The sequence below is a fragment of the Homo sapiens genome, chromosome 6, assembly GCF_000001405.40.
Source record: "Homo sapiens chromosome 6, GRCh38.p14 Primary Assembly".
Taxonomy (NCBI): domain Eukaryota; kingdom Metazoa; phylum Chordata; class Mammalia; order Primates; family Hominidae; genus Homo; species Homo sapiens.
This window is the reverse complement of record NC_000006.12, coordinates 112,230,801-112,256,588: the sequence shown is the minus strand read 5'-3', so window position 1 is coordinate 112,256,588 and position 25,788 is coordinate 112,230,801. Positions and strand designations below refer to the sequence as shown.

The 25,788-nt window shown below is 40.4% G+C and overlaps 1 protein-coding gene and 1 long non-coding RNA gene across 12 annotated transcripts in view; one reads left to right on the top strand and one right to left on the bottom strand.

The window, feature by feature from the left end:
* The window catches only part of LAMA4-AS1 (LAMA4 antisense RNA 1), a 70,088-nt gene extending 50,095 nt beyond the window's left edge, over positions 1 to 19,993 (bottom strand). Inside the window, exons 1-2 of the long non-coding RNA NR_121193.1 lie at positions 19,951 to 19,993; positions 19,673 to 19,810 (exon numbers count right to left, since the gene is read on the bottom strand). This is a non-coding gene — a long non-coding RNA (LAMA4 antisense RNA 1). The remainder of the gene's footprint in view (positions 1 to 19,672; positions 19,811 to 19,950) is intronic.
* The window catches only part of LAMA4 (laminin subunit alpha 4), a 147,055-nt gene continuing 122,870 nt past the window's right edge, over positions 1,604 to 25,788 (top strand). For 3 of the 11 annotated variants that reach the window (NM_001105207.3, XM_005266983.5, XM_047418771.1), the window contains exons 1-2: positions 2,022 to 2,147; positions 2,298 to 2,633. In NM_001105207.3, the coding sequence (NP_001098677.2) occupies positions 2,439 to 2,633 (195 nt within the window). In that variant the 5' untranslated portion in view covers positions 2,022 to 2,147; positions 2,298 to 2,438. The other 8 variants (XM_017010854.3, XM_005266984.5, NM_002290.5 and 5 more) reach the window with 6 other exon arrangements.

Here is a 25,788-nt window from a genome sequence, read left to right as displayed (position 1 = left end):
TCAGAGTCTGGCTATCTTTTTTCCCAATATCAGTCTCTCAACTAAACCAAACATGTTTTTAACTTCTCCCACTTAATTTAGTAGGTTAACAAGTCTATGTAAAAGAAGAGTATCATAATTTAGCTTAATAGTCCCTTGCAATACTATTTTAATATTTTAAAATCAAAATATCACTTTAAAACCTATAGGAATTATTTTTGCTTCCTTTGGCTTTGGTTCTTTTGTATCATACAATTTTATCATTTAAAATCAAAGATCTTACCATCAGATTTACCTGGGCTATAGTAGTAATTTTACCACTTACCCATGGCCAAATGTGTATGACAATCCCTACTTCATGAGATTATCATAAAGATGAAATTAAATGAGACAATTTTTTTTTTTTTTTTTTTTTTTTTTTTTGAGCTGGAGTCTTTCTCTGTCACCCAGGCTGGAGTCAGTGGTAAAATCTCTGCTCACTGCAACCTCCACCTCCCGGGTTCAAGCAATTCTCCTGCCTCAGCCTCCCGAGTAGCTGGGACTACAGGCGCCTCCCACCATGCCTGGCTAAATTTTGTATTTTTAGTAGAGACGGGGTTTCACCATGTTGGCCAGGCTGGTATCGAACTCCTGACCTCATGATCCACCCACCTTGGCCTCCCAAAGTGCTGGGATTACAGGCATGAGCCACCACGCCCAGCCCTAAATGAGACAATTTATGTGATTTTTTTGCACATGGGAGGCACTCAAAAAATAAAAGTGTCCATTTCCTTCACCTCTGAATTCATACTCTTTATTTTAAAGTTGCAGTGTCGTGTATACAGATGTAAAAGAGAGCTTTGGAATCAGTGAGGCCTGGATCCAAACCCCATCTCTGCTTTCCACCAGCTGTGCGACCTTGGGCAAATGTCCTAGTCTCTCTGAACCTCACTTTCTTCTTCTGTAAAAGGAAAATAATGGTACTACTTTGCAGGAATGCTGAGGTTTACAAATAGCATATGCCAAGTATCTGGCACATGTTAGGTGCAAAATAAATGGTTTTGCTTACACTTAGATAAAATGACTTTTGTTCTATGAAATGGAGCTAATGATTAGGTTTTATGGAAAGGCTTTATTTATTTATTTTATGATTAGGTTATACAAAAATGCTTTATTTCACCTGGAAGCTTACCTGGGTGTCATTTTATGGTTGTCTCATCTGACCATTTTTAAACCATGGTTGGATCTTGTGGAAATGTTTAGAGCTCGTTATGAAGCCAATGTAAACAAAGGTACCTATCAGCTGTTGCAGACACTATCCCATCCACAGGGGCACCCCTGACATAGCTGTAGCCCAACTTCACCCTGAAGTCTTGGAAAGGTTACATGATTCAGACAGATGTAGTAGGCATGAGATTACAGGCCAAGAGGAAGAGGCCGGGGCTGTAGGCAGTATACTTGACAGGCTCATACACTGCAAGCCTTGTTCCGGGCCCCTTACAAAGCACCTCTTTAGGATGAAAACAAGATGGTCTTTGTAAATAAAAGTTCATGCATTTGGGTAATGAAGTCATTTTCCAGCGCTGCAGTGAAAGATATTCTTCTCCCAAGCCCTCTGGGTGAGGACTGGAGGGAGGAAGAGGGGTGGCCAGTGAATCTGAAGAGAAGATATTAGCACAAAGAGTGCAACAGTCTATCCCCCAGAAAAAACCCGAGAAACCTTGCTCAAGAAAGTGGGCACCCTGACCCTCTGCCTTCAGAGATCATCTACCTTTGGTTCCTGCCCTGGAATCCCTTTTCCACCCACTTTCCTGCAAACTAGCGGGGGCCACATAAAATATCTATGTAAATATAGATAAGACATCCGGTACCTTGACTACATAAATAAGAGTGGTGAGGAAGCGTCACAAAAGCTGAATATTCTTCTGGAGCCCTTGGAGGGGCTCCAAACTGAGAGGGGAGGGAAGACCGCAGGGAAAGGCGGACCTCAGTGTCTGAAAAGCCAGCTTAGAGTGGGAGGGCCTGGGAGTAGAAGGTAAAAAGGGAGTGGTGAGAATGAATGTGAGAAGGAAGCCAGGACAGCGCAGTCCCCAGTCCCGAACGGCCAGGGAGAGGAGGTGGCCTAGCGCTGGCGGGGCTCACCCCAATCCGTCTGCCTTTTGATGCCGTACTGTAAGCTCCGTCCATCTGTAGGTTCTTGAGCCAGAACCTCTGCGGGAAGGAGAAAAAGTGAAAGAGGGAGAGGGAGAGGGAGAGAGAGGGGGAGAAGGGGAGAGAGAGAGAGGGAGAGAGAGGCTGGAACTCTCCCTTACTCTCGCACTTTCCCTTTATTTCCTAAGCTGCTGGTTGCGCAGCCACCTCGGGATACTGCACACGGAGAGGAGGGAAAATAAGCGAGGCACCGCCGCACCACGCGGGAGACCTACGGAGACCCACAGCGCCCGAGCCCTGGAAGAGCACTACTGGATGTCAGCGGAGAAATGGCTTTGAGCTCAGCCTGGCGCTCGGTTCTGCCTCTGTGGCTCCTCTGGAGCGCTGCCTGCTCCCGCGCCGCGTCCGGGGACGACAACGCTTTTCCTTTTGACATTGAAGGGAGCTCAGCGGTTGGCAGGCAAGACCCGCCTGAGACGAGCGAACCCCGCGTGGCTCTGGGACGCCTGCCGCCTGCGGCCGAGGTACAGTGTCCCTGCCATTGCCACCCTGCTGGGGCACCTGCGCCCCCGCGGGCTGTGCCACACTCGTCCTTCTCTCTCTCTCCGCCTCTTTCCTCTCCCCAGTGCCTTGAGAGTTTCACCTGGGCTAGGTCAGTTCGGAAACTTGAAATAAAGAGTTTTCCTTTGTAAGTTGCATTTGGATGTTGAGAGTTGAAAGTTGAGGCTTCGGAATGTGTCTGCTCAAAGGGGTGAGAGTGCATGTGTTGGTGCTCTGAGTTCATCCGCTAGACTCTCACCGGGGACTGCAGCAGCACATCGGTGACTTCTGCCACTTGCGTGTCCCAGTAGTCATTTTGTCAAGCCACGGCACTTAACGTGTGTGCCCTGTCACTGGCTTCCTGCTCCTCTGTGCTGTTAGGACAGTGGGAACACTACTGCAGGATCTTTTTGTCTCATATTAGACAAGAAGTCTTCTGCAGCAGGGAAGGTGAGGGGGTGAGTGAGAGTGGCTGGTCATGAAAGGAGCTGTTAGACAACTGCTGAGAGGGTATCTTAAGTAGAAACGAGCCATTGTATTCCAGAAACAAGATGTTTCCATTAAAATCAAGCCTCAGGATATGCTATTGATAATATGTTTATTCAAAGAGCTGCTGTTTGAATACCTTACAATAGCTTTTAAGTTGGAAACAAAACCAGAATGTAGAGGTCTGGTAAAGGAGAATGAATCCAGAACAAGTGATTTAAGAACCCCTGAACTGAAACAGACAACAGCATGCCCATTGCATGGGACATGCTAAGAGGGAGGAAAATAAAGTCACCTAAGTTCATGGGAAAGGAAGGAGCAATTGACCTAGCAAAACAAACACCACACTCTATAGCTATGGTTACAGCAACTGTACAACTAAAACAGTTATGTGGATTGACACCATTTCTAACATCACTGATGCATGGATTATTGCTATGAATTCTGTTAATTGTTAGTACAATTATAGTTATTAATTATTGATGATTAAAAATAAGGTGCATGAACATGGTCCTTCTTCAGAGTAAGCCCTACCCACATTGCCCCAAAAAAGAGAGTGGACAGGGTCAGAATATGCCAACCTCTCACTGTGGTATAAAATGTAGCCTCCATGAAAAAGAGGGAGCATGGCTTCTGGTCAACTTCATACCCAGAAACTTGGGGAGAAGCCAGACCAGGAGGGACTTCATGCAATGGGAAGGCTTTGCTTCTCTACAGGCTTGGAATTAACCCCAGGGAAGCATTATCTCCACCTGTTGCTTTGAGCACGTAAAGTCCCTGAATGAAATGCTTAATTTTACTTAAGAGTAAAATTGGCAGATAAATTGCAGGACACTCAAATGTGAATTTCAGATAAATAATGAATGAATTTTGATCACATCCCAAATACTGCAGAGGACATATTTATATTAAAATTTGTTTTCATTGTTCATCTGAAATTCAAATTTATCCGGGCATCCTGTATTTGTATCTGTTAGGTCTAAAGAGACAAGCCATATACAACTGTTTTTTGTAACTCTCATCCCACAAAAAAAATAGGAAAGTAATTTTTTGAGTTTTAGAGAACCTTAAAATTAATGCTAAGACCCTAGGAAATTTCTTATGTGCTCATATGTTTGGTGAAATAATAGGAAGGCAGCACAGCAAAGTGTTTCAGATTGCAGGTTTTCAGTCTGATGGTCCCAAGTTGAAATTTCAAGCTCTTTGACCTTGGTCAAGTTACAGATCCCCAGACTGCAGATAAACTGATACTGACAGAATTTATTGATGCCTGCTTCATACCTCATACTTTTATTGTAATGAAATTAGATAAAATAGAGTGCTTAGCATAGTGCTTGACATAGTATAAATGCCCTATATATGCCAAGAGTTGTTACAATTGTTACTATAAAAAATGTGGATGATGATCAGATTAAAAGAAACCCTTATTTGAGAATATTCCTTAGAACCTTATGTTTATGGTTTTCTTTTACTTAATATTATTATATCTGTTTATCTATATTCTTCCAGCTGGAAAAAAAATGTCACGTAGTGAATTAAATTTGTAGTAATGTCAGAGTCTAATAGGTTCAGAATGCCAGTGGAGGCCTTCAGTTTTGAAAAACAGAAAGAAGATATTAGTCATTCCAGGAAGGTCAAAGTATATGGTGTAGAAAGGGTGAGATTGAGGTAATTATGTTCCCACTGCATAGTTTCACATAATGCCTCCAGTTAGCCTGCGGTCCCATGGCGATCCCAACGCCCCACCATCAGGTTTCCCATGCTCTTTATAGCAGTAACCAGACCTTAAACCAAATACATTCCGGAGACTTAATAACATGGTACAAACACTTTACTGGGTTGGCTCAGGAGACTGTATTTGTGTATATGTGGAGAGAGAAAGAGAACACGGACACATTATTCATGGGAGAGGTTCAATGTGTGGATGGGAAGATATTCTAAAAATACATTCTCTTTACTTGGATTTATATGAATGGTTATTCTGCAATTCTCCTTCAGAGGGAATGAAGAAAAATATTAAGGCAAGCATGGAGCAGTGGGAGGTGCTTGGCTGAAGGCCTTCCTGAGGTTCTCCTAAGCTCTTCAATAGCCCAGCTTGTGGACTCTCCATCCCTGAGTACTTGGCCCAAGACACAAACTCTGGCATGCTGTATTGCTCCATGTGAGCTGGGGAACAAATACATGAAATATGCACGGAATAAAAGGATAGAGATTGTTGGCTGACCAAAAAGGAAGTCTCCTCTTTTCCTTGTAAAACAAGCCAAAGCTTCCCCCCAGATGCAAAGTATTTGAAAAGAAGAGCACCTGTGGGTAACTCCGTACTAGTTGTGGGGAGGATTTTCCCACCTTTGCTTCTTGACACTTAATCTACTGAGTCCTTTATTGCTGAGTTTATGGTGAGAACAGTGATTCTCAACAGGTGATTCTCAAAAGGGAAGACTGGGCAGTTTCAATAATGATAATCAGTATTCTAATATTTCACATTAAGGAAAAGAAAGTCTATTCATTCCACCACACACACTATAGCAGGAAAAACTAGGCCAAACTCTTCTTGACCAATATAGATATGGTAGATATGGAAAAGAACTGGTGTGGGGGCAGGAATGAAGATGGGAACACCCCCACAAGAAGCCAGTAACAGAATGTCCTTAGGAAGAATGAGATTCTTGTCCATCAAAAAGAAGTAGGAACTAAACAAGGTCAAGAACATGAGGTTGGAGGTTACATTGTGTGGCTGGAAAGAAGCCACACAGAGACTGAGAAACTGAGAAGGCAAGGACTCTTCTGACAGGGCAAGGTGGAAGGTGGTGGAGGAGGTGACGGTGCTATTACTGGCTTTCACAGATAAATGATAGAATAAGGGATACAATTGACAACATTGAGTTGTCAATGAGTTGCCCCTCAGAGGGGAAAAGAGGAATTTCTCTCCTAGAAACCTCAGTTTTGCTATTGTTGTCATTATTGTTGTGTTAACTTCACTCCAAGAAGATCAGTGCCCATGAACATACCTTACACTGGAAAAACTGACTTGCTAAAAAGAAACTCTATAAAGCAGACTAACTCTGAGGGACTTTTCCTCTTGACTTTTTTCCTTGTTGATACGTGACCCCATGTCCCAGCACATTGTTAGGGTCCTGCCATTAAAAGATTGCAGAATGTTTAATAAAAACATTTTAGATCTCTTTAACCATCTGCTTTCTTTTTTCTTATCTTGGTCACTTGCTTTGAAAAAGGTCCCTTGAGATCACACTAAGACCTCCAGTTGCTAGCCTGGGTTATCACTCTACATTGCTGTTCCAACAATTCAATTAGGTAATCTGAACCCCTTACATGCAGTCATTATTTCATTCATTTATTCACCCAACAAGCTGGTTTGGAGCCTTACCTCGAAAGAGCAATAAAATAGGTACAAGGAGCAATAGAAAGAAGGTATAGTCTCATCTTTGCCCTCAGGGGTGAGCAATTGAAGAGAGAAAAAAAATAAGTGGCCATTATATACAGAACAATGTACTAACATTCTATAAGAGTGGCTACAAGGTAAGTGCCATGGAGGTAATGTGAAAAAAGTATTATTCCTGTGCTAGACCAGTAGGGCACAAAACTTACTTGCCAAACACCAAAATAGGCTTCAAAAACCTTATTTTAGAAGAACTGGAATATAGCAGTGGTGGTAATAGCAATAATAGTATGGCTCATAGCTGATACTCGTTGAGTACTTACCACATGCCGATACTGATGTAAACACTTCCCATGAGTAATTTCCAGTAACTTTCATGACAAATCAATGTGACTGGTATCGTTATTATCTCATTTGATACACATAGAAACCGAGGCACAGAGCATTTGCCCAGGCCCCTGCTTGTAAGCAGCACAGCTAGGAAGGAGTTTATAAAAGCAGTTCAACTGTGCAAAAGTAGCTAGGAAGAGGTGATTAGGTAAATAGAAATATATATAGGAATACTTCTAGTCAAAGTTTTGGGAATTCCTTTTTTTTTTTTTTTTTTTTTTTTTTGAAACAGAGTCTTGCTCTATTGCCTGTCTGGAGTGCAGTGGCTTGATCTCAGCTCACTGCAACCCCTGCCTCCTGAGTTAAAGCGATTCCCCTGCCTCAGCCTCCCAAGTAGCTGGGATTACAGGCACATGCCACAACGCCCAACTAATTTTTCGTATTTTAGTAGAGACAGGGTTTCACCATGTTGGCCAAGATAGTCTCTATCACCTGACCTTATGATCCACCCGCCTCGGCCTCCCAAAGTGCTGGGATTACAGGCGTGAGCCACCGCACCCTGCTGGGAATTTCTTTAAATGAAGAAATATAAAATGCAATTTAAAGACCATTTTTGCAGTGCTTGTTAGATGAGTAGCATAAGTTACAAAAAGTTGAGATAACTTCCCTTCTCCGTCTAGCCTAATGACTACTTTTTAAAACTACTCACGTAAGAAAGAAAAAAACTAATACTTGTTGACTTCTACTATGTCCCATCAACCTCCATGAATTGTCTTAATACTAAATAGTGAAAATTATACCCATTTTACAGATGAGTTCATTGACATTTAAGAGTGGTAATTACCTTAACCAAATTTTCATATTCCTTTCTCTGCTTTCTGTATACCAGGGAGTCTTCCTGATAGAGCACTTTTTTTTTCAACTATAGAGTCTCCTTATCCTATTTTCTCTTTATAATGATATTCTAGGGTGTGTCCTCCACGTGATGCTACAGTCTATCTTAAAAGCTGTTGATTTAGATTAATAAGTAGGAAATTCATAACAGTATTACCTATGGAATACCTGGTCTATGTTATGGAATTTATTATAACATTGCTAAAAAGTAAAGAATTCCATTCCCTAGTGTTCCAGGGTTCTCTGATTTAACCAGAGGAAGTCTTTTCTTTTAACATGATAAAATAAAAATAACAGAAACTTTGCCATTTGAACTTTTTTTTTTTTTTTTTTTGAGACAGAGTCTCCCTCTGTCACCCAGGCTGGAGTACAGTGGTGCTATCTTGGCTCGCTGCAACCTCTGCCTCCCGGGTTCAAGCAATTCTCCTGCATCAGCCTCCCGAGTAGCTGGGACTACAAGCGTGTGCCACCATGCCTGGCTAATTTTTTGTATTTTTAGTAGAGACGGGTTTCACCGTGTTAGCCAGGATGGTCTCAATCTCCTGACCTTGTGATCTGCCTGCCTCGGCCTCCCAAAGTGCTGGGATTACAGGCATGAGCCACTGCACCTGGCCATTTGAACTATTTTTAAGGGCACAGTTCAGTGGCATTGACTATATTCACATTGTTATAAAACCATCACCATCAATCTCCAGAACTTTTTCATTTTCCCAAACTGAAACCCATTAAATGATAACTTCCGATTAACTCCTTCCTCCAGCCCCTGGCAACAACAATTCTACTTTGTCTCTATGAATTTAACTACTCTAAATACTCCATATACATAATCATGCAGTACTTATCCTTTTGTGCCTAGCTTATTTCATTTGGCATAATGTCTTTGAGGCTCACCCATGTTGTAGCATGTGTCAGAATTGCATTCCTTTTTAAAACTGAATAATACTCTGTTTATATGTACACTATGTTTTGTCCATTCATTTTGTTGATGGACATTTGGGTCGTTTCTACCTTTTGGCTACTGTGAGTAATGCTGCTATGAATATTGCTGTACAAGCCTCTGTTTGAGTTCTTGCTTTCAGTTTTTTGGGAGTGTATACCTAGAAGTGGAATTGCTGGATCATATGGTACAGAGAAAGTTTTAAGACTTGGAGTCTTATAGGGGCCAGGTAAAAAAGAATTGAGTGAATCTAGCTCGGTAAAGAAACGCATCCTGTGAGTGGTGGGCCTCGATAACAGGAAATGGAAGAATCCCTCTTCCAGAGTGGCAGCCACCTCTCAGCATTGCCAGGTCTTCTGGTTTTGTTTTGTTTTGTTGTGTCTTTTTCAAAAGAAGACAGAATTTGGATTCATAAGTGAAATTGCTGACTCAAATTTTTTTTAATGCCCTGTAGGCTGAGTACATCTGAGGGCCAGATTCAGCCTAAAGATCATTTATTTGCAGCCTCTGCTTTACAATATTTTGAAGTTCACCTTTCGTTACAGGCAGAATATGGGCTTACAACCAGACAGATGCGCTGTGAATCCAGCTCCACAACTTTCTAGCTGTTTGACTTTGGGCAAATTGGACCATCTTTTAGATACTCAGTTCCTTTGATTGTAAAATAAATAGAAATACACCTGCCTTGCAAAATTCTTGTGAAATTTAAATGAAATAATATATGTAAGCTGCCCAACACAAAGTTAGCCCTCATTTCTCTCAGTCTGTCCCTCCTTCCTTTCCCTCATTTTTCCACTCTCTGCCTCTGTCTATCTTCAGGTAAAGCTCTACACTATCTTGTTAAAAGTATTTTGTTATCAAACTCTTTACTTATTCCATAAATTCGAGTACTTTTAACTTTTGCTTAAAATTTGCTGATTATCCAACATTGGAGAAGAAGGCTGTCATTTAGTTTTTATAATCATTGTGTCTTTTATGGTTCTTTAAACAGCCTTTCCCCAGCAATAGGAGGATCTGAGCAGTTAAGAGAAATGAATGCTAAATCCCTAGAAAAGCTAAAGAAAAAAGCCAACAGCAGCTGGGCACGGTGGCTCACGCCTGTAATCCCAACACTTTGGGAGGCCAAGATGGGTGGATCACAAAGTCAGGAGTTCAAGACCAGCCTGGCCAAGATGGTGAGACCCCGCCTCTACTAAAAATACAAAAAAATTAGCTGGACATGGTGGCAGGTGCCTGTAATCCCAGCTACTTGGGAGGCTGAAGCAGAGAATTCCTTGAACTCGGGAGGCGGAGGTTGCAGTGAGCGGAGATTGTGCCATTGCACTCCAGCCTGGGCGACAGAGCGAGACTCTATCTCAAAAAAAAAAAAAAAAAAGCAGCTTTGATATGACAAGGATAATACCTTTTTTCCTCTCATAATTAAATACTAAATCTGACTTGTCACAGTTTCTTGAATTAAAATGCCAAAAACACTCCCCTACTTTAGAGTTTTTTCTGGCTTATAGTAACCACATAAATATAATGATGGCCAGACATAATTTTGAGAACTTTGATTGGTTAAAAGCCATTAAAACCAGATTGCTAGTATATGCTTTGAGTCCAAACCTTAGCATTTCCAAACAATCATTTTTTTCTAAAATAAGTAAACCTAGTCTATTGATGTATAGTGACCATACAGAAGAATATTTAAATACCTACTCATATTTGCAAAAGAGCAGCATTCTTTTTTCAACTGTTTTTCTTTTTGGCTCTTGGTGTGGTAAAGTTAAATTCTGGGAAATGGTTTACTAAAGGGAAGTTTAACCACAGATGTTTGTAATTCCAACTTAAGTTTCCCATCAAAGTCTTAATGAAATTCAGCTGCCAGCAGTTCGGCTCTGAATCTGAGTCTTTTTATCATGAGAAACTTGGGGGAAACAACATTCTGAAGCTGAATGGTAATGGGAAAATTTCCATATTCAGCCCAAATCCTCTCCATAAAGAAAAAAATACATAAACAAATTCTGTTAAAAGCGGGAGGAGAGACGGGTGAATATAATTTGAGTAATATGCAAAATGACCTTCTTTTCACTCCCAGGACTTTCTTAGTTTTTATGTTGTGTTTTGGTGGAGGCTAGAGATCCGTGTTTACCTAAATGGAGTGAAGTATACACATTTTTTACTTCATGAGAACTGATGAGTTAGAGAAATCCCGTAACATTAACAGCTGCATTAGCACAAGTCTTTGCAGAGTAGACCAGTCATCCAGGCTGTACTCTACAGCTAAAAGGGCCCCTGAGCATGATGAAGACTTTGCATATTAATATTTATTTTGAAATTATGCCATTTTGGAGTGGCATGATTGCTTCAAAGGAAATCAAGGACTCTAGGAATCAAAAGTACCTTCACTAAAACTTCCCTCACACACACAACTATTACATGGAACACTGTTGTCTATGTACAAAGTGAAATGCAACATGGCATGCTGAACCAAGCAGCTCTAGAAAGCCAAATGTCAGTCCAAAGAAACACATAACATAGACACCAGCCAAAGGGAAGAGAAATGTCTAGTAAGCCTCAGGCCCTGGGATGCTAGGACTATAGAACCCTCTAGAATCACAACACAGAGCCACAGCACAAATTCGGGTTCTGAAAACCCTGGCAAGCCTCTTCTTCCACAGCAGAGGTAGTCCAGGATGCCTTTCAAACTTCATGGCTACATGTGTGTGTTTCCCTTTGATGAACAGTGATACAATTTGACAAGCTGAAGGTGTTACCTAAGTGTTACCTCTTTTCCTGCTATCTGTCCTGAGTCCTAGGTGGTTCTGTCAACCCCCAGGTCACAGATGAGGTGTTAAATGCCTGCTATTTGGAGATTAAATGGTCTGAATATCTGGAGATGGGCTGCGGTTTAATTGTAGTACATGAATAATTGCCTCATTTTATATTGTTCCTTTGAAATTGTTGTCTGCCACCATTAATGCCAATAGACACCCTGAAATTCCATTCATAAGAGACCTGAAGCTTCTCCTGCAGCACAGAATTCAGCATAAAGGAGACCTGTTTGAAAGCAGAGTCAGTGGGTGGTTATTATTGGTTACATAAATCTATCATACCTTGCAATATGAGCCATGAAATCAAAGGAATCATAGAATGTCAGACTTAGGAAGTTTAGAGATTCAACTCTCTCATTTTGTACGTGAGAAGAGAGGGGAGGTGTGGGTGCTTGACCCCGGGACACAATGCCCATTAGCAGTAGTACACGTGTCACAGGGTAAACCCCCAAATTGGAGTTCAGCCTGGGAGGCCATGTGGGTTCTTGGCTTCACACAGGGAGGAACTCAAGAACCAGCCGACAGAGTAAAATGAAAGCAAGTTTATTAAGAAAGTAAAGGAATAAAAGGGTGCGTACTCTATAGACAAGCAGTCCTGAGGGCTGCTGGTTGTCTGTGTTTATGGTTATTTCTTGATCATATGCTACACAAGGGATGGATTATTTATGAGTTTTCCAGGAAAGGGATGGGGAAGTCTCAGAACCGTGAGTTTCTCCACCTTTCAGGCCTTATAGGGTAACTTCCAGACATTTCATGGCATTTGTAAACTGTCACGGTGCTGGTGGGAGTTTCTTTTGGTATGCTAATGTATTATAATTAGCATGTAATGAGCAGTGACAGAGACCAGAGGTGGCTTTTATTACCATCTTGGTTTTGGCGTGGTTTGGCCAGCTTCTTTACTGCGGGGTCTTTGTGACCTGTTACCTTGTGAAACCAGTCCTGCTGGTTCTCACTTTTTGCCTTATGTTCTTTTCAATTGTTTTAATGGACTGAATCATCCTAGCTTTATTTTGTTTATTTATTTATTTTTGAGGCAGAGCTCTGTTGCCCAGGCTGGGGTGCAGTGGTGCAATCTTGGCTCACTGCCACATCCGCCTCCCAGGTTCAAGTGATTCTCCTGCCTCAGCCTCCTGAATAGCAGGGATTACAGGCACCCGCCACCATGCCCAGCTAATTTTTGTACTTTTGGTAGAGACAGGGTTTCACCATGTTGGCCAGGCTGGTCTTGAACTCCCGACCTCAGGCAATCCCCCTGCCTGGGCCTCCCAAAGTGCTGGGATTGCATGCATGAGCCACCATGCCCAGCCTCATCCTAGCTTTAGAACTAGTGATTATTACCTGAGCATATCTAGATATCTTGTAAAAGATATCTACTTCTAATATATTATTACTCTTTTACTCTTTATTGTTTCTGTTTATCCTTAAGTTGAGTCATCAGTAGGAGATTCTCATGGAGCTGAGTAGAGCTAGACTATGAGTCTGTAACTTTCTGATTCTTGGCTCCATCACTAACAACCAGATCACCCTTGCCAGGTAAAGAAACCTGGTCAATTCCTCTACCCAGCAGTTTTAGTATAACTGCTGGGGCCTCAATTATACTAAAAAAAAATTAAAACTGATTACTTCTAGCAACAAAATTCTACAATTATTTAATAAATAAGTTAAAATTTACGCCAGTTAAAGGGAACCTGGCTTAAGATACTGAATCACATAGTCATAGCTGTTGCCCTAGTTAGAACCCAAGACTTTAAGAGTCCAGAGCCTGAAAGAAACACAGGGCCCTGGCCTGTGGTAGGGGGTGGGGAGGGGTGGTTCCTAACAACTCCAGATGTGGGGCTGGGGCTGATCTGCAGCACAGGTTACCAACCCAGCCACAGACATGAGCCTCTCCAAGGTGACACAACAATGAGGCTTCCCAGACAGCCTAAGTGTGTCTCCATGTGGTCAATGAATGTTCATGGGTCTCCCATGCCAGGGTCCAAGGGTGCTACCCCCTACTCTATCTGGACCCTCCAGAATGACCCTAAACCTATCCCCACTGCAGAGAGACAGCAAAGTAGACAATGGAAGAGATCAGGGACTGGAGACCTACTGAGCAGAGACTCATGTCAACACATAACAGTTCAGTGCCAAATGGCAGAGGGTCCAGAGAGGAGAAGGTATTTTTACTCAATGAGAAAGGAAGGGAAAGCCAGTGACAGATTATTAATCATTATAAACATCAACATGAAATACTCACATTATATTATACAGAGTAGAGCTGTCCACTAAATCTTAATAACAATGTAAAGAAGAATCTTGCAGAACACAACATGTGGAAGCAAATATGTTCAAGGAACTGTCTCGAAGTCAGAATTGTTGGTGTGTGAGGGGTGTGCACTAGTGTCTAAATGCGCTGATTGTCGCTGGCTATGGGGAAGAGGGGTCTAAAACATTGCTACTGAAAGTGTGGTCCAAAGATGGCAGCATCAGCATCACCTGGGAATGTGTTAGAGATGCAGAACCTCAGGTTCCACCCCAGAATCAGAATCTACATTTTCACCATATCCCCAGGCTGTTTATCTGCACATTAAAATATGAGAAATGCTAGGCTCTCAAATACAGGTGGGCTTGAATTTTGAATGGATGTAGGGGAAATTGCAAATGCAGAAAATGGCAAAAATGTTTGATATAATTATGGAGGAAGACCCAAAAAACATAAATTATGGCTAAGTCTAGTAAGGGGGTTCACAAGCTCACCCATACTACCTGAAAATGTGTACTTCAGAATAAAACACAAGCCTCAAAGCAAACTGCTACTTTGAGGCATCTAAAGGAAGCTGATAAGATAAAGTCACTTCCTGAAACCATGGCACACACACACTGGGTGCTCAGAACATATTTTTTGAGAAAAGACATGAAATGACATGGCAGGTTTTTTTACTCCCACCTAACTCTTCTCAGCACCCATAGCCCAGATACCAAAACACTGAAGACTCTGTGTCCTTGAAGGAAGTAGAGCAGAGGCAGGGGAAGAATTTACTTGGGGAATCTGCTCAAAAATAGGATGTTGCTCACACTTTTCAGGGAATAGTGGGATTGTGATGTTTTTCTTGGTAACAAGGGAGTCATTCTGATTCAGGATGTGTCTTCAGGGAGTGAGGAGTGCAGTCTGTGTCCTAGACTAGAAAGATAATGTTAGGAGACAGGGAAGACCCAGTTCCCCAAAATGAAAATTGCCAATTGCTCTTCCTCCAGCTGGTCCTTTTCTATAGGGATTGAAATCTGCAGGAAAGTGCTTTTGAGTCAGGTCTGTGTCTCCTTCTCTATCAGAGCCGACGTCCCCATTCTCCCTGCAGACTCCAGCTATCCTTGATGCAGCATTTTAGCTATAATTACTAAGCACTTGATTAGCACTTGCTGTGTTGCAAGTACTGTTCTAAGTACTTATGTGTATTATAAATTCATTTATTCTTCATAACAACCCCAAGAGGAAGGCATTAATATTAACCCCATTTTACTGATGACAAAAATGAGCCAGATAGCAGTTAAGTAACTCATGGTCATAGCTAGGAAATCTGACCTCAAGCTCCTAACCTTCACATTATAATGACCCTCTAACATCTGTTTCTAAGTCTCAGAGTGCCTTAGCAATACCCCAGCTAATAAAGGTTTCCCGTACTACTGCAGTAGTCTTAGCAGTTGACAAGTCTGTAAAGAACATTTAAATAAGTGGTATATTTGGTCTTTGGCCTTGTTTTTAAGTTATAGAGTAAGTATCATCTCAGTAACAATGGGGAGTCCTTCCCTTAAACATAGGAGGAGTAACAGTCGTTGAGATTTCTGAATGTGTATATATATACACATTCATATATATATCATATATATACATTCATATATATCATATATATTCATATATATTCATATATATTCATATATATTCATATATATATTCATATATATATTCCTATATATTCATATATATATTCATATATATATATATATTCATGTGACTCCAGCTATGCTGAGCATTGGTTTTTCAATAGAGTCCTGAGTCTACTTTGTGGACCTACAACTTAAAAGATCTTGAAAAGGATATGGAAAGAGCTGACACAGTAGTAAAAACATGACCTCAGTTCCTAAAAAAAATAAAAAATAAAAATTGAGCTACAATATGATCCAGCAATTCCACTGCTGGGTATATAACCTGAAAAAAAGAAAATCAGTATATAGAAGAAATATCTGCACTCCTATATTTGTCACAGCACTGTTTACAATAGCAAAGATTTGGAGGCAACCTAAGTGTCCATCAACAGATGAATGGATAAAGAAAATGTGGTACATATACACAATAGAGTACTATTTAACCATAAAAAAATGAGATCCAGCCATCTGCAAAAACATGGATGAAACTTTATGTTAAGTTAAATAAGCCAGGCACAGAAAGATGAATGTCGCATGTTCTCACTTATTTGTGGGATCTAAAAATCAAGTCAATTGAACTCATGGACATAGAGAATAGAAAGATGGCTACCAGAAGCTGGGAAGGGTAGTAGGGGGTTGGTGGAGAGGTGGGAATTGTTAATGGGCACACAAAAAATAGAAAGCATGAGTAAGACCTACTATTTGATAGCACAATGGGATGACTATAGTCAATAATAACTTAATTGTACATTTTAAAATAACTTGATGTAATTGGATTGTTTGTGACTCAAAGGATAAATGAGGGGATGGATACACCATTCTCTATGGTGTGCTTATTTCCCATTGCATACCTGTATCAAAACATCTCACATACCACATAAATATATACACCTACTATTTACCCACAACAATTTTAAAAAAAATACAAAGATTAAAAATAAAACAATTAAACAAAAAAATGACCTCAGGAGAAATGATTAGACAGAGTATGTCAATCAGGACAACTAACGAAGGTTTAGAAACAGTTTACCTTTTAAAATGTTTCTTTACAAATGACAATAGAAAAAGAAAGGAAATTTAACAATGAAAAGGATTCAAAAGTCAGACTTTTTTTTTGTTTTTTTGAGACAGAGTCTCGCTCTGTCGCCCAGGCTGGGGTGCAGTGGCGCGACCTAGGCTCACTGCAAGCTCCGCCTCCCGGGTTCACGCCATCCTCCTGCCTCAGCCTCCCGGGACTACAGGTGCCCGCCACCATGCCTGCCTAATTTTTTTGTGTTTTTAGTAGAGACGGGGTTTCACTGTGTTAGCCAGGGTGTTCTCAATCTCATGACCTCGTGATCCGCCCGCCTCGGCCTCCCAAAGTGCTGAGATTACAGGCATGAGCCACCGCACCCGGCCTCAAAAGTCAGACTTAAAGAAACATAGGCTGCTAACTCCTTTAAGCACTATATAAAACAATTTGTCTGAAATAGTGAGTTATTCATTCAGCACCCCAAGGAATACAAGTGTAGTGCTGAAAGGTACCATTCAAGGTAGTAGTGACTTGATCTGGAACAGACCCAGGTAGTCTTCCGGCCTTCTGAACTAAGAGAAGGACTGTAGCAGCAGTCACTTGTGAAATGCATTGTAACCTGAATGGGGGAATGTGTGAGAATAATGTTACCCCAACTTTTAATGTGCAGGCATCTCTTTGCTATTTCTCCTCCTCCTCTAGCCTCATGTTTTAAAATGTTTTTCCTTCTTTATTAGTCTGCTGGGGCTGCCATAAAAAATAATCCAGACTGAGTGGCTTAAGGTCAATAAAAAATGCCATAAAAAATACTCCAGACTCAGGTCTCTTTTTTTTTTTTTTTTTTTTGAGATGGAGTCTCACTCTGTCACCTGGCTGGAGTGCAGTAGCACATGATCTCTGCTTGCTGCAACCTCCACCTTCTGGGTTCAAGCTATTCTCATGCCTCAGCCTCCCAAGTAGCTGGGACTACAGGTGCCTGCCACCACACCCAGCTAATTTTTGTATTTTTCATAGAAACAGGGTTTCACCATGTTGGCCAGGCTGGTCTTGTACTTCTGACCTCAAGTGATCCACCTGCCTCGATCTCCCAAAATGCTGGGATTACAGGCATGAGCCACCGCACCCAGCCCATTTAATCTTTATTATCTGTATTTATTACCTCTTTATAGGCACTATCTCCAAATACAGTCACATTAGGGGTTAGGTTTCAACATGAATTTTGAGGGGACACAATTCAGTTCATCACACCTACGAAGTGAAATGTATTAAGTAGTAACTCATTTCTTAATAAGGCAAAGTAATTTATAACCACAAAAGAAATCTTCTGAGAAAATAAGATAGTGCGTGTAATTGCCCTGTTTTAACTTTAAGCAAAAGCCATATTTAGCACTTCATTTTAATTATACATTTTTAATAAATATGTCACTATTACTTTTATTTATTTGTTTATTTATTTATTTGTAGACAGAGTCTTGCTCTGCCGCCCAGGCTGGAGTGCAGTGGTGTGATCTCGGCTCACTGCAATCTCTGCCTCCTGGGTTCAAGCTATTCTCCTGCCTCAGCCTCTGGAGTAGCTGGGACTACAGGTGCCCAGTACGCCTGACTAATTTTTGTATTTTTAGGAGAGACAGGGTTTCACCATGTTGGCCAGGCTGGTCTCGAACTCCTGACCTCAAGTGATCCAACCGTCTCGGCCTCCCAAAGTGCTGGAATTACAGGCATGAGCCACCATGCCTGGCCAACTTTTAATTCAATATTTTGAAATATGGAAAATAGTGTGTCAGGCTCTGTACTGCCACATTGTATTTCTTAGGTATCCAGGGACACTCGATTGATCAGTATCAATATCTTCACTCTCTTTTTTAGCAAAAAGGTGCACACTACCTCAGCAAGTGCCAAGTATCCTACAAAGATGAGTAAAACACAGACGAAACAAGCACACTAATAATGCAATACAACTAATTTCTTATGTTACAAAAACTCTTCAAGGATATAGAAGGAACATTCACTCCTGGTGGAACATTCCCAGGTGACTTCATGGGCAAGGTGGCATTTGAGTTGAATCTTTGAGATTGAGGAAAAGAATACAAGCTGAGGGGACAGGATGAGTAAATAAAAAGACACAGAGTTTCTTCTGGAAAGGGAAGTAGTCTCAGTTTGTTGGGCTGAACCACAGGGATCCATCAAAGACTTCATAGCAGAAGAAAGAGAAACACAGTGAGAATCATGATTTGTCAACATTAATCGGGAAACAGTCTCCTGGCTAGATTGGGCAATAGGTGGCAGAGAGCCTGGAATCAGGATAACCCATGTCGTGCATTGGTAACCATCCAGGAGGGCCTAAGGAGGCCTGGATTTGGATGCTAGCTGTGGTCTGGAAAGGAGAGAACAGATGCTGGGATCATCGCCAAGGTTCTGTCAAGATGGTTTGTCATATGTTTGAAGAGTAAGGATGAAGGAGAAGTCAAAGTTGCTGCTGATGTGTGTAGAAATGTATTAAATCATGGGAGAGAAGTCTCTGCAGAGACCTTTCAACATAAAACCTACTAAATCAGTGGCTCTCAGACTGAGGCTCCATGGAAATGCCTGAGGGTTCAAGTCCTCCGGAGCAGCGGGAGGTTGCTCCCTACCTCCTTCAATCACAGCAGCCTCTTTTTTATCTGTTTTATAGATGAATTTCACATGAAATTTTACTGGTTTTTAAAAAAGGGATTCTCTGCTCTAAAATATTTGAGAACCACTATGCTGGGGCCTCCCAAGCTGATATTCTACATCAAGACTAGTCTCCAAAATGTTACTCAAAATCTTATTCAAATCAGTGCCTCCTAGGCAGTTTCCCAGCAGTACACACGTCTGCCTTGGGCCAGTACTTGTCACTGGTTGCATTGAGCAGCTGATGCTCAGAGCACCCCTGTAATAGCTCCAAACATGAGCTAGAAATCTTTAAACAATTGGTGCTCTCCTGAGAGATATTTTTATGCTTCCTGTTCCCTGTCTGACGGTATTTTTGGCCCTTTTCAAGGAAATTAGGAAATTCCACTTTTGTCTCGGTCATTAACCTGGGAGTACTGAGGACAACAACAAAGGAGCTTCGGAGAGAGGATAGGATGGTAGTGGGTAGACCAGATAACCACTATCATTTGATCTTCATAGGAAGGACCAGATGTTCATTCAGTTTTTATTCTTCTAAACCAATTATTCCATCGCAATGAATATCATCTTATTCTGAAACATAAACCACAGTTTCTTACCTGCACCCTGAGCTAAAAAGATAGCTCTCAAGTCTTACTCTCTCCTTTCTCGATACAGTAGTTCACCCCATTTGTGGTCCAGAAGCTGTTTCCAGTGATCTCCAAAGGGGAAAAGTACTTCCATGATGAACATTATGTCTATAAAAATCAAGAAAATAAGCATCAAAAACTTTAGTTTTCCATGCGAATTAAAAAAGCAGCAACCTAAGCATTTCATAGTGTCATGAAGGCAAACTGCAGCTTGTTTTAATTTGCCTTATAACATATCTGCAGTATACCTGGGGAGAACTGATGTTCTAATGAATTAGGAAAGCTTCTTTTATCTCCTTCTACCTGTAGCTTGAAGACCTCAGCTTTTAAAAAGCTGTTGATATTGAACAACTGTTAAATTGGCAGTTATTCACAACTGCCAAATATTGGAATTTCCAATGACTACTGACTCAGGTAGAAAATAGTGTTGATACTTATTAAGCTTTCATGATTTACAAAGTGTTTTCCTATATATTTCCACCTTTAATCTTCACAACCATCTTACAAACCAGGCAGTCCGGAGGTTATTCATCTAATTTATGAAAGCATGGAAATGTTAAATGATAAGCCCAAAGTCTCCTAGCGTGGAAACTTGTTGAGACAGCAGGAAGTTTCACAGAGTTCTAGACTGTTAGAATGTGAAGAGCCTGGAAATCATCATGCTGCTAACATCATTGAAGAGGAAGAAACCAGAGCTAGAAGTTGAGTCACTTCCCCAAGTTCCCACACAGGGTTTCTAGAACTGGAACCACAACCAAGTTTCCTGGCTCTGAGGTCAGTTGTCTTTCTCTACTGCATCACAGAGCAGGGACGCCGTCACGGGGGTGTTGAGACATTAAGTGAGCTGGATCAGACAAGAATATATCCATGTTTACCTTCGCCTTATAACTTATGTAGTCATCTGTGTCCTGGAACTAAGTAATTCAATTGCTAAAACGTTGAAAGTTCTCTTCGCCTTTGGTCATTATATTTATCTCAATTTTGAATTTAATTTATAACCAAATCATGCATCCCATTTCTTTCATTTCAAGCATTTTTTGCCTTGGCCCCATATGCTATCAACCCCTTAAACCATGCTCTCAGCACCTATACTTAGAAAGTAAGCATTCAAGTGCATTAAAATTTCAGAATTTCCGGCTAGAGTTTTCTGGTGGTCACATAAAAATAAACAAAACATCCTTGATCTTAAAAGGAAGAAAGAAAGATCTATTTCAAAAATGAACAATAACATTTTTGTTTTAAAAGTTTAAGAATTAATTTTTAAAATTCCTAGACCATATCATGTCTGGTATTCCTCCTGTACACAGTGATCGGTCAGGTTTCCACATGACCTTAAGAAACTTCCCTATCATGTACCAAAACAATTGAAATGTGAGAAATTAATGAAGAAAATGAAACGTTGATAGCACCAAAGTGGTCCACTCTGGCACTTGTACCCCTCCATGACCTTGTCAACCTGATTTATAACAATTCTGAGTTTCAGCAGCTCCATTTTTATATGTAGAATTTTTCTACTGTTAATGTCACAGGGAAATCACCCTAGTCTTCTAACAGCAAAAAAATATATATAATACCTGTTTCTCGAGAAAATCTGCCAATTCCCAGCAGAACTACAGAACTTTATGATATAATCCAGGGACTTTGCTATGAACAGCATCTGCTGAGATATGCCCTGAACCTAATAGAGGACAAGGAAAAAGGGGTATTTCAGGGGTTTGGGGCAGCCCCACATGGTCTGCAAAATAGGAAGGTTTTTGGGAGGCAGGACAGTTCTAACCCTGCCCATTCCATGGTCCATTTTCAAAATGGTGGGCACTTTCACGCCTCATTCTCACCCTAGTCTTTGATGTCAGGAGGATCCTCAGTATGGTGAGAATAATACTGTATTTAAGATGAAGCTGATGTCTGTGTAAGGTCAGAGTAATCATCTTTATGAGTATTATCCGAAGATATTTGGATATCCGAAGATATTTGGATATCCAAAGATATTTGTAAGGTTCTCCAAACTTCTAGGTTTTTATTAAAGGGCTGGGCTCTTCCTGGTCTCAAACAGTATTTGTGGTTACTTTGGCAGATGAAGCACATTTTTCCTGTGCCCTATGTTTTTGGACATGCAGTATATCAAAGTGTTCGGTGGAAATAAGCATTCTGTTATTTTTTTCTTAGCACATTTTTTGTCTTCTCTTCCATTCAGTTATGTTGAAAGCTACGTGTTGGATCTGTTTTTTAGTTATGACATTAGATCTTCATCTGAGATTATCTAAACTACGTTGGTTTTCTTTTGATTACAATCTCTTTTTTTTTTTAATCTGCTAACACAAGCTCATGTTTATCTAGAAAATGCGCTTTCTCCTCAAAGTCATGAATCAGCATGAATTTCCTTTGAGTTAGTTCAAATCATCCAGAAATTAACAAATTTCAAAAAAGAAAAAATATACTAAAATGTAGTCAAAGCTTTATAAGAATACTTTATGTGCTATATCTCAGCTAGTCACTGAGTAGCTGTCATAAACCTATGACATAAACCTACTGTCATATACCGATGACAGTAGAGTATTGAAAAACCAGGTGCACCAGGTTCTTGTTTTCATTCTTGATAGGTTCTAAGTTCATTAAACCAGTCTCGCAGTTACTCAGAGAATCACAAAACCAAGTGTTCCTCTTATTATCTTGCTTAGCTCATTTTGGGTAAAATGCATCAAACGGCAGAATGAAAAATAAAAAAAAAAATTTGTTTTTATAGTTGAATGACGTTCTTCCTATGTATAAGTTATAACTTGAAAATTATTACTGCTTCCAAGATTCCTAACTTTCAAGCCACATGAGAGTGACTCATGGGATCCTGGTGGCCCCAAAGGATTAACAAGGCTTCCAGATGTGCCTAACACTTATTTCAGGAACTAGGGCAAGCCTCCAATATTATCTACAATGTGTGGAGAGAGGGTGGCGTGTCCATGTGAGTATACTGTAAGCCAGAAGGTTGCTGAAGATGTCACAAAATTTAATTGCTGATATTAAACTAATCCTTCCAAAGAAATTCCCAGCAAGTAGAAAAAAAGTAAATTCATTGGTGTTTTTATTGAGAGAGATTACCAGGAGTGAAAGATGCCTGCTTGAAGCAATGAAACAACAGACAGAATATAAGTTTAGCCTCTCTACCTTATGAGGAGTAAACTAAAAATTGCCCTATGCTTTCTTTCAGCCTCAGCTTTCCTCCTTTCAGAAAATCCTCCACAAACCGCACATCTACCAAAGAACCATTTTTGATTCCCGCTCTTCCCTATGTTAAAAGTAATCTCTTGCTCTTCTTAGCTCACTCAGCATTTCTTTGTACCTCTCATGATATTATAGCTCTTAGCACTTTCTTCCAGATATTCTAGTAAGTTACAGATACAGCTTAAATTTCCCCCATTGAACCCCTGAAGGCCAGAAGGGTCCATGATTCATCTTCTGATTCCCCAAATTGCCTGTGCAAGTTCCTTTTAAAATTCGTGCTCAAAAAAAATTGTTTATGCATTCCACAATTATTTGTTGAAAACGCATTTTGTGCCAGCCCCTGGGCTGGGCCCTGGATAGCCAGTGGTACATGAAGCAGAGACAAAATGAATAAATGACCATACCAAATACTGAAATCCAAAACAGTGCCTACTTTTCTGCTCATGGTATGTGTATGCTCTGATACGATTCTGTTGTGTAATTCTGAAGAACAAGTCAAGATAGCATTTGGCGTGACATCAATAGTCAACCACGGTGTCCCTGGCTGCTCATTCCAGGAGCTCCGTGCTGCGAGTGAGAATGCCTTTTAAGCTAAAAGCTTTGTCTTTCCCACTGTATATGGAAAAATTGACTATGCACTTTCATGGAGAAGGTCTAGCTAAGAAATGTTTATATTGGAACAAGTCCCATCTCTAAATCTGGGCTGTTGCTGAATGGTATTTTGTTTCCTTGGATCAGGGAAGGGGTCTGGAAACATCTGTAATGAAAGTATTGTTTTAAAATCAGCACAATTTTTTTCTTCAAATGACAGATAACAGAATTGCTTTAAATCAAATACTCTCAGCCTTCCCCATTCATTTCCTTTCATAAATGTGTATTATTTTGTTGTCATTAAAATGGCAGTGTGAATACTAGATTTGTTGCACCCCAGACATTGCCATTCCCTTTGCAGTCATTTTCTTTTCACTTTAGTTTGTGTTCTTTACCTTCACTTTTAGAAACGTGCTGTAACAGAATAGCTATCTCGATCACAACAGTTATCTGGGGGCAAAATTTCAAAGCTACAAAATGATGGTATATTGTAAAGCAATTCTGAAACTATCCTCCAAAATTTTTACTCAAAAGAAATGTACACATTATGCTATTTATAAATGAAAAGTTAAAGAAAATACATATTTACATTAAATAGTATTTCACAAAAATCTAAAAATGAAATCTTAGGGAAGGGAAATTAGGGGAAGAAATAATACAAAATACCCTTAAATAACATGAAAAGGATGGAAATTCTGTAGCAATTTTGAATACCATTCATGCTTTAAAAGGAATAGAAGTAGCTTATGAATGGTTTGTGATACTGTAGTTAAAATTATATTCCTGTATATTTACCACTTGTTGCAAAATCTGTTTTTTAAATAAGCTCCCCAAATTAAGGAGCTGAGTGTTCAGGATGGTAATTCATCTGCCTTGCTTTCTGTAAGCAGTTGGTGCTTGGTGTATTTGTTTATTAATGAACTATTTGGAAATGGCCTTGTTACCAGTGTCCCTGAGCCGACTGCCACTCTGAAATACTTGGATTTTAGCCTAAAGATCCATTCTTCTGAGGCTTTTTAGGTGTTTGACACATAGCAGAGTTGTAAAATATTTGCTAAATGGGTTCTACTGCTCACATTTTACAAATAAGAGCACTTGGAGTCGAATTTCATTATCATTTGTCTCATAAAATTTGACTCATAAAACACATGACAGAGTGGGAGTTCAACACACAATCCTAAGTTTGGAACGGGTTACAAACACTCTGTGGGGTATAGCCTTCCTTAGTGTTGAAGGATGAAGGTGTTGGTTTCATGGCTCAGTCAGAATTGCAGTGATGGTATTTTATTAGTACAATTTATGGGCCACAGTTTTCCTGTTAGGTGGGGCCAGACATATGTCAAGCTGCCACATATTCTGCCTGAGCAGACATCTGCCTCTGATTCATGAGGGAAACACCTGCACACATGCTGGTGTATATTACACAAAGAGGCATCCTTTTCCAGGGCCCATTGTCAGATCCCTCAAATGGAACAAAGGAGGTGTCAGGGATACAGCTGGATGTCATACGACTGGCTTCTATTGAGGTTGACTTTGCTAATGAGGGATCTGCATTATTTGCTTCGTGGTCTATTTCTATCTACACTATATAAAAACTGTTAAAAACTAAAACATCAGTTATAAATTATTGTATTTAAATTGAGAATAATTGCCATATGTCAAACCAAGTAATAAGAGAGGCCTAATGGGCTGTCTCTGAGGACTATCTGATAGTCTGGGTGTCCATATGGACTCAGCCACACACACTCATGGAGCAAACCTGAGTTTGCTTAAGAGAGGTCACTCCACCTTACCCCATCCATCACCTGCATTCTCCCCTCCAAGATGACTGGGGAGTGGTATTAAGACCTTTTGATGACAATGGCACTTTCCTGAGAAAAAAGGGAGACATACTAATGGGATATCTTCTATGAGACTCTTGATAAATTTGATAAACTTGAACAGAGATGACTTTTATCCCGGGTATTCCAGGGAAAGGCAGAGATGGACAGCATAAGTTTGTTTGCAGGCCCAAAAGAGGTGTGAGCTTCAGCAATAACGCCACAGTTTTCCAGCATCATTTTCTTCTTCATCATCATCCTCATCAAGAAGCGTGGTTGAGTGACTAGAGCACTAATGGTGCATCACCTTGCTCTATGTAAACAGCTTTCAACAAGTTGCTTCTTCGCTAGGCCTCAGTTTTCCCAAATTTAAAATTAAGAATTAGATACAGTCCTTCCCAGCTCTGGCATTCTGTGTTTCTGTAATGCCAAGACACATCCAATACATATTGATTAAGC